Genomic DNA, 8,873 nt, shown 5'->3' with positions numbered 1-8,873 from the left:
AAAATGAGAGCCACAGTAGAGATAAAGAAAAAATGTTCATGATAGTGAAAATTGTGGCAAGGGAGGACAAGAAAAGGAGAGGAAAGGAATTCCACATATGGAAGTAAAGAAATTCAAATATGCCTAACTCTAAAACTAACATGGATTATGACAAGCTACCAGTAGGAACTACTGTGTACCAGATATTGTGCCAAGAGTAGAAGGATGTGTTAACAAAACAAAAATGTTTGTTTTTAGGCAGTTCATAGGGCAAGACTCACAAGTAAGCATTTATAAGAGAATATGCATTCCATTTATTCTTATAAGTATGGGCCCTTAATACAACAGTAAGTATATTTACTGATTAATTGTAAGTGCAGGAGGAAAATAAGTATTAGAGAAAGCTGAAATTATTTTCAAAATAGTAATAACCTACAATAAGTGCAATTAGTACTTTAAAAAATTAACAAATTACTAAATTTAAGTAGACAAAATAATAGCTTTAAAGCCATTTACCTTAATATTCTTACAATAACATGCTCCCATATGAAACCCTCAAGTGGTATACCCAGAACTGTACATAATAGTTTCATTTCTGACAAAGGAAATGAGGTAGTGCAGCATAGTGAGCATCAGGAGACCTGAGTTCCCTGGTCCCTGCTCTGTCACTTCCAGGCCTTGGAACCTCAGGCAAGTTCAAGTTCTTAGAACTTCAGCAATAGGTAGAGTTGGATAAAGTGACCTCCAAGATACCACCCAGTTGAACAATTACAATCCTAAAGTATCAATGGTTCTTAATACTTAAAAAGGTTTTCTAAACATAAATCATTATCCAACTTAGATAAAGTCTGCAATCTTCTAACCATAAAGGATCATGGGGGTGAGGGTGAGGGGTGTGATAAAAAAATGTTTAAAAAAAAAAAAGAAACAAAATAAGGAAAGACATTAAACTCAAGACTAAATTTTTACTCAGCTGCCTACTGGGCAACTACCACCCCAATTATCTACATAATTCCCTTACCTAAAATTAATTTCTTCAGTAAGTTCTACTGTCTCTCTCTTACCTTTAAAGTTGCTGAGGTTTTAAGGTGAGAACAAGAAACCTTACAAGGACTTGGAATGGCAGTATTGATGTTGGGAGAAAAACTTGAACTTGGCACAGATTTCTGCTTAAGTGCACTAATTACATCTCAGAGAAAGGTAAAAAATTGTTCAAATTTATAACAGAAGGGAAATAAGATCATATTGTTTACTGCTATAAAGCTTTTTTATTTCGGTATGTAAATGTCTACTTTTGCACACAGTTGATAATTAAAATTTTACAGAACAAGTTTCTACATATGCAATGCTTCACTGTCACTAAAATATATGTTTTAGCTTTAACCATCAAGAAAATAAAAAATTAGAAGTATTATCATGTCTTTATAATATTTTTGCCAAATATCCTTCTAGATTTATATTTCTTCAATCCTTTCTAGTTGATCAAATTGCTGTTTTCATATTGCCAGTCTGATCACAAAATTGCTGCTTTACAGAAGAATATTTTTTGCTGACATAAATTATGGGATCAGAGATACCAATGCAGTTACAAAAAAAAAAAAAAGGGTGTGAGGGAGAGAGAGCGAGCGAAAGAGAGTGTGTGTATATGCATGTGTGCATCCATCTTCAAGGAAAGAATAAAGAAATGTATATATGAAACAAAATAACACTTTCCAATATAAGCCCTAGTAAAAGGCCTACATCAGAAACATACTTTCTAACATTTGTGAAATAAAATACAGCACTGAATTTTAAAGCTATGCACTAAGAACACATTATACAAAAATGAAGTGATTTTTATCAATATTGTTATTCCATAAACTTAAATCTGGATTTACCTTTCAATTTATAGCTAACTGAAATTAATATACTAACTATAAGTTCATGATTTCTTTGACTCATGAAAACATATTTTAGAAATTTGTGTACTTTTACATACAGTGGGCAATTTGGTTCAGAACCCCAAGAGAAATTGAGATGAAAAACTCATCTCAATTTACAACAGTAAATAAATAATTCAGCTAAAACTGAAAGTGGTACCAATCCAGCAAACTATTGATGGAGAGGTTTGGCCTTCCATGCAGCCAGAACAACATAAAGTTTTCAATGGGGATTACTTGTTCAGACAAGTTACAAAGATTACAAATATACCCAGATTAATTATAAAATAGCTAATATTCTCATCATATGGAAAATAAGTATCAGGAACGTATGTGGGAACAGACAATAGCAGTGGCATTTAAACTTTAAGCATTTTAGAGCTTTGGACTTTATATACTGATATATGAAACAGACATTTAACCAAAAAAAAAGCAATAATGCAAGTCAAAACCTAACCAAAGGCCTCTACCAACTAAAAATTTGAAATTTTCCATGGAAGTCAGACAAAACGAAAAAATGGAAAATGAAACCCTTAAAGCAAAAACCAATCAAGTCTTCCAACACTGAAGTCAATATCCAAATCTCATACAGGACCAAAAAGGGGAAAACACTCAGGTCTACAAATGGATAAGCAGTTCCAATACAATCCAGATCCCGACATTTTCCCACTCAGAAACAAATGCAGTGGAGCTTTTCCTGGAGAAAAAGAGCTCTCCAATGAATTTTTTTTAAGTGACATCTAGAAAGTGTGCCTCTTTCTGTCTCTTTCCCTGGCGCCTCATTGGAGGAAGGAGGGGGTTGTTTTTGTATTCTCCCCCACTGGAGCAAGACACAATCAGATGTTAGATGGAGGAGAGAAACCACTTTTGACAACAGCAAATAAAAATAAAAGTGCCCTTCCTCCCCTGACAGGATGGGCACCCCACCTCACACACCCCTCCCTACTCCAACCCCTCCTTCACCCCCCCCAGCACCACCCCCTCCTCACCCCGGAGCTCCACTGCGTATGTGGTTTGGTGCTACTGTTGCCCCGGAGTGAAAGTCAGAGCCAGAGGAAGGCAATGAAGCCCCCACAGACACACTTACCTTTCCTGCCCCCCACTTTTGAGTGCCTTCCCTGGAGCTGTGGAGGATGACACAAAGGGTAATAAAGGGGGGGAGTGGAGGAGGAGGAGGCGAAGGAGGAGGAGGAGAGCTGGGGAAGTGGCTGCTCCTGGGTGTAGTGAGATGTCTCCAGCCAGGGCCAAGCAGCAGCAGTAGCAGCAGCAGCAGTAGCAGCAGCAGCAGCAACAGCAGCAGCAGCAGCAACAGCAGCAGCAAAGGGTCTGTGTTGCTAAGAGGCTTTTGGTTTCTTTCTCTCCTCCTCTCACGGCCAAAGAGGAGGAGGGTGGAGGGAGGGAGGCGAGTTGGAGGGGTGAGGGGGTAGGAGTCGTGGATGGGGGTTTTCGAAGAAGAAGAAACTCCTTCTCCTCTCTCAGGCTCAATCCCCCTCTCAGGGCTCAGGGCTGGAGGGTGGGGGAAGGAACTCAGCCGCCTTCCCCCCACCCCCCTGAATTCAAGGTTGAAGTGGGGTAGAATTAGTGTCCTGTCCCTTTAAAAATAGAAATAAAAGGTGCCCCCCCTCTGCCACTGCCTCTCTCTTCATCATCAGCTGCTGCTGCTGCTGGGGTCTCTCTGCTTGGGGGGGAGGGGGGGTTCGGGTAGAAGAGACGGGAGGCACTCACTGCGCATGTCCCTCTCTGACGGGTGGCTGGTTGGTTGAAGGCAGGAGGAGGGGGAGGGGAGGAAATGAGCTATTTTCCCAGAAGGCGTCGAGGCGCTAGCGACCCGGAAGACATTGTAGCGGGAGGTACAGGAGCGGGGGCGGGGAGGAGGAGGAAGTCGCTACGCTTTTAACACCCCCAGCTCCCTCCTCCTTCCTAAGGGAAAGTGGAGGAACGGAAGTGGGCGTGGACGGAGACGAAAGGAGGTCACGTGTTTGGGCGGGAGAGGGGCGGGGTGGGAGAGGTAGTGCGTGCGCGGGGCATGCCGGGAGTGGTTGTGTACGGTCCGCAGCGGCAGGTGAAGTCTAGCAGAGGACGCGGCCAGGCGATTCGGTGAAGCGATTCCTGCAGGCGTTGGTTCCCCTCTTTGACCTGGTAAATGCAGGCTTTTATGCGAGAGGTAATGGTGGGGGTAAACTTGCTGCAAACGAAGGCCAGGGGCGTCGGTGGCGCAAGGTGAATCGAAAGTGGGAGGATGGAAGGCTGTGGAGATTGGGAATTGGGAAGGGGGCAGGCTTGTATAGGCCGGGAAGGCCAGGACCAGGCGAGCTCCGTCTTGTGGCCACTCCCGCCCCGTGAGCTTGCCGAGGAATCCTTGACAAGTGCAGGGATCCTGAGTCTACCTCTGCATCGGGGTAGTAGGTGAGGAGCGTGACGGTCCGAGTGTAAGAGAGAAGGGAACTGTGAAGCCTCAGCAATTGACCCTCATGACTGCAGGACGGAGGACTTCTATCTAGGGACAGAGACAAGTCCTCTGTATGCATTTTGACCAGATGCATCACACGCGTTGCTCATATTGGATATTGCGCCCTTCATGCCTTACCTCTCAACCCTCCCTGGTATTCTGGAGTGGCTTTGGGGAAGGAGCAGGCAGGGAAGTCTTGAGTGGAGCTTCCCTCCATGTCTTGCGTTGTTGCTACAACACAAAGCCTTTGCTTTTTCTCGGAGAGGGATGTGGGATTGTGTAGTCCTTAATGTTGAGTTCTACGATTGATGAAGGAGAAGGGACGTGATCAAAGTTTCCCCTTATAGTGTAGATGAGAGTTTTAAAAGGACTGTTTTGTCAAGTTTCTTTGGTTACTATTCTTAGTTTTTGAGCCTTTGGTTTCCCAAATGCCAGCTGTTTTTGCTGAAAATAATGAATTTCTATCATAAAATTAGAATTAACTCAAAATATTTAAGAAAGGATTTATAAATTTACATTAGTAAAGCTTTTATAGTGAAACAGTGCTGGTTCTTTTTCATTGTTTTCATACAATCAATATAAAGCATCACAGTCTCAATATGTTTTGTAAAGATATTTTGAAGGAATATCATCTTTGTATGTTTTTTAAAAACCAAGAATCTAAAATTCTTCGTATTTATTATGTTGGTACTTAATTCTGTTGGGTGGGTTCTTTTTGTTTGTTTTTTGTTTTGAGACGGAGTCTCGCTCTGTCTCCCAGACGAGTGCAGTGGCGCGATCTCGGCTCACTGCAACCTCTGTCTCCTGGGTTCAAGCAGTTCTCCTGCCTCACCCTCCCGAGTAGCTGAAACTACAGGCATGTGCCACCACGCCTGGCTAATTTTTTTGTGTTTTCAGTAGGGACGGGGTTTCACCATGTTGGTCAGGCTGGTCTCGATCTCTTGACCTCAAATGATCCTCCCGCCTCGGCCTCCCAAAGTGCTGGGATTACAGGCGTGAGCCACCGCGCCCGGCCGGTGTAGGTTCTTTAGGTGTACACTATCAGTTAAAGTTACTAATTTTCCACGTTTTGCTTTCTGTAAGTTTGGGCAGTGGACCCCGTTTATGCATCATTGCTTAGCCCTTAGTATCTTCTGTATTGTGTACGGTAATCATGTCCGATGGAATCAAAACTAGACTCCTGTGCTTTAAAATTTTCTTTGTAGTGTAACCAATTGTCTGTCTTTATAGTGTAACCAATTGTCTGCCACTTTGTAATGAAAAAAAAAAATACCAGCAAGGCAGTTAATGTGCCTTAGCTACAATTTTAAATATTTTGTGTCTTTTTCCATACATTTAGTATTTAAGCATACAAACATCGATACATAGTATAATGAAAAACTATAAAGTGTGAACTCTATGTAAGCGCTGCCACAGTCAAGAACTAGAACGTCTGTGGCACCTGAGAAGCTCCCCTCTCCATTCTATTCCTGATCATCCCTTTCCTCAATTCTTTTCAGTGGTTAACACTATACTGATTTTTATGGCAATCATTTACTGCTTTCTTTCTTAGTATTTCTTAACCACCTATGTCAGCATTCCTAAGCAATTTAGGTTCGTTTTGCCTGTTTCTTAATTGTATGTAAGTGGATTATATATTACATATCATTATGTATCTTTTTCTCTCATGCAGCTGGGATATAACTCTATTAGTACATTTAGCTCTAGTTCTTATATTGGATTGTAGTAATCTATAGTATAATAAGTATAGTATAAAAAGTCTTAATGGAAATGAGCCACAGTTTAGTCTAATATTAATAAACATTTGGATTGTGTTCCGTTTTTAGTAGTTATGAACAATGCTATTATGAATGTTCTTGTACATGTATTCTTAATGTACATTACCATGGGTTTTTGTAGAGTACGTATGTTTATCTTCAACTTCACTAGTTATGCCTTTTCCAAAGTAGATACACCAATGTATACCCCGACAGCAGTATATGGTAGATCCCTTTACTTTTACTGTCTCACCAAGAGTTATTTTTCCTTTTTCCCAACTTGATGAATGTGGCTTTATCTTATTGTTGTTTTAATTTATTCTGCCCAGGACACTAAAGAGTTTGAGCACTTTTTCAAAAACTTACCGGCTATTTGAATTTCCTCTTTCTAGAATTGTCTTTTTAATTCTTAAATCTTTTGTGCATTGTCTTTTTAAATCTTTTTGGGAGGTTTTTTTGTTTGTTTGTTTTTTGTTTTAATTGGGTTGTCTGTTTTACTCAGGGATTTCTAGCAGTATGGCCAATATCTTCTCTGTGCTTGGAGCATTACTCTCTTCTGGGATGGCAACTTTTATCTTCATGTAGGTCTTATAGGCTGTCATTGTTCTTTGAATTGTATACGTAGTTTAAACTCCAGATAACAAGTTCTATGCTTGTGCTATTCATTGCAGTAGCTACTAGCTGCGTGTGGCTTTTGAGCACTTGAAATGTGGCTAGTATGACTGAGGAACTGAATTTTTAGTTTTATTTAGTGTTCAATTAAGTTTAAAAACTGACACTTGATTCAGTTACTGTAAAACCTGTATGTTTGGAACAACTCGGATACATAAACCTTTCTTAACCGCAAATTATTAAATTATTATTTTTTAATTTTTGGAGATTTTTTCCCCCCTGGAGATGGAGTCTCGCTCTGTTGCCCAGGCTGGAGTCCAGTGGCATGATCTTGGCTCACTGCAACCTCCGCCTCCCAAGTTCAAGTGATTCTCCTGCCTCAGCCTCCCTAGTAGCTGGGATTACAAGCATGTGCCACCACACCTGGCTAATGTTTTTATTTCTAGTAGAGGCAAAGTTTCACCATTTTGGCTAGGCTGGTCTCAAACTCCTGACCTCAAGTGATCCACCCACCTTGGGCTTCCAAAGTGATGGGATCACAGACGTGAGCCACTGCACCCGGCATTAGCTGCAAATTATATAAAAATATAGATCAAGTATTTTATATGGCAGTTTTAATTTAGCATCTGCATTGTAATGTTGTATAAACACCATATTTCAAAGACAGTATGAAAACAATGTAAAATACCTCAGCTTTTCATTATGATTACATGTTGAAATTATAATTGATTTCACCTTGTTTTCTTTTAGTGTGAACAATAGAAAATTTTAAATTACTTATGTCACTTTTACTGTATTGCTGCTGGACAGTACTTTGAGCTAGATGTTCCTATGTGTTTACCATGTCTTAATTTCTTCCTGCGTCTCTGACTTTTCTTTTGGAATCTTTTAACTTTTACTTTAGCACACTCAGTAGAAGTTTCATAATGCAGACATTCTGATGGTCAGTTCTCTTAATTTTTTTGCTTTGTCTTAATTTTTTGTTTTGCCTTCAATCTTGAAGAATGTTTTGGGGGATATTACAGATTTGTGGTTGTTTTACTTGTACCTTGAAGATAACATTTCACTGTTTTTGGTTTTCATTATTGATTTTGAGAAATCAGCTGTCAATGCATTAGGTTGGTACAAAAGAAATTGTGGTTTGGGACAGCGAATTTTAAATCATTATAACGAGGCTCTAACATATCTTTATTAATTAAAATAGGTCATTACAATCAACACATTTTTGCCGACAAGAAATAAGTTTGTTTTTTCCTGTAATGTAAAAATCCATGCTTCAGGATTCCACAAACTCTTGGAAAGCTTTTTCCTGCATCCTGCTGGTTGTGGAAGCATTTTCCCTGAAAAAAGTTGTAGAGATGCTTGAAGGAGTGGTAGTCAGTTGAGAGGTCAGGTGAATATGGCAGATGAGGCAAAACTTTGTAGCCCAGTTCGTTCAACTTTTGAAGTGTTGGTTGTGCAGTGTGCGGTTGGGTGTTACTGTGGAGAATTGGGCCCTTTCTGTTGACCCATGCTGGCTGCAGGCATCACAGTTTTAAGTGCATCTCATTGATTTGCTGAGCATACTTCTCAGATGTAATGGTTTCTCCAGGATTCAGAAAGCTGTAGTGGATCAGACCGGCAGCAGACCAGCAAACAGTTACCATGGCCTTTTTTGGTGCAAGTTTGGCTTTGGGAAGTGCTTTGGAGCTTCTTCGCGGTCCAGCCACTGAGCTGGTCATTGCTTGTCATATAAAATCTAGTTTTTGTTGCACCTCACAGTCCGATTGAGAAATGGTTCGTTGTTGTGGAGAATAAGAGAAGACAACACTTCAAAACGGTGTTTTTTTAAATTTTTGCTCAGCTGGTGAGGCACCCACTTATCGAGCTTTTTCACCTTTTCAATTTGCTTCAAATACTGAACAACTGTGGAATGGTTGACGTTGAGTTCTTACGTTGAGTTCTTCAGCAACTTCTCATGTAATTGTAAGAGGATCAATCTGCTTCAATGATTGCTCTCAATTGGTTGTTGTCAACTTCCAGTGGCCTGCCACTACACTCCTCATCCTCAAGGCTCTGGTATCTTTTGCAAAACTTCTTGAACCACCACTGCACTGTACGTTCATTAGCAGTTCCTGGGCCAAATGCATTGTTGATATTGCAAGTTGTCTCTGCTGT

General features: G+C 40.5%; 2 protein-coding genes across 34 annotated transcripts in view, besides 3 other annotated features; one reads left to right on the top strand and one right to left on the bottom strand.

The window, feature by feature from the left end:
- Window positions 1-3,743, bottom strand: part of MBD5 (methyl-CpG binding domain protein 5) — a 496,045-nt gene extending 492,302 nt beyond the window's left edge. For 18 of the 24 annotated variants that reach the window (XM_047445058.1, XM_047445074.1, XM_047445079.1 and 15 more), the window contains exon 1: window positions 2,986-3,579. The gene's annotated coding sequence lies outside the window, so the exon portion shown is untranslated. Of the gene's footprint in view, window positions 1-2,985; window positions 3,580-3,623 lie in introns of those variants that run through there. The other 6 variants (XM_047445056.1, XM_011511472.3, NM_018328.5 and 3 more) reach the window with 5 other exon arrangements.
- ORC4 (origin recognition complex subunit 4) overlaps window positions 3,119-8,873 on the top strand; it is a 91,156-nt gene continuing 85,401 nt past the window's right edge. For 6 of the 10 annotated variants that reach the window (NM_001190881.3, NM_001190882.3, NM_181741.4 and 3 more), the window contains exon 1: window positions 3,933-4,037. The gene's annotated coding sequence lies outside the window, so the exon portion shown is untranslated. Of the gene's footprint in view, window positions 3,223-3,932; window positions 4,063-8,873 lie in introns of those variants that run through there. The other 4 variants (NM_002552.5, XM_011511255.3, NM_001374270.1 and 1 more) reach the window with 2 other exon arrangements.
- Window positions 3,412-3,511: an enhancer, noted in NCBI's record as "active region_16614". NCBI's record gives its function as "activates an Ori minimal core promoter by ATAC-STARR-seq in GM12878 lymphoblastoid cells {active_cell/tissue: GM12878}" and the evidence as "EXISTENCE:reporter gene assay evidence [ECO:0000049][PMID:35858748]".
- Window positions 3,691-4,288: an enhancer, noted in NCBI's record as "H3K27ac hESC enhancer chr2:148777951-148778548 (GRCh37/hg19 assembly coordinates)". NCBI's record gives its function as "activates a minimal SCP1, AML or CMV promoter by ChIP-STARR-seq in naive H9 embryonic stem cells {active_cell/tissue: H9 hESC(naive)}" and the evidence as "EXISTENCE:reporter gene assay evidence [ECO:0000049][PMID:30033119]".
- Window positions 3,862-4,021: a silencer, noted in NCBI's record as "silent region_11998". NCBI's record gives its function as "represses an Ori minimal core promoter by ATAC-STARR-seq in GM12878 lymphoblastoid cells {active_cell/tissue: GM12878}" and the evidence as "EXISTENCE:reporter gene assay evidence [ECO:0000049][PMID:35858748]".

The sequence above is a fragment of the Homo sapiens genome, chromosome 2, assembly GCF_000001405.40.
Source record: "Homo sapiens chromosome 2, GRCh38.p14 Primary Assembly".
NCBI lineage: Eukaryota > Metazoa > Chordata > Mammalia > Primates > Hominidae > Homo > Homo sapiens.
Note: the sequence above shows the minus strand (reverse complement) of the source record. Positions and strands in the feature narration are given on the sequence as shown.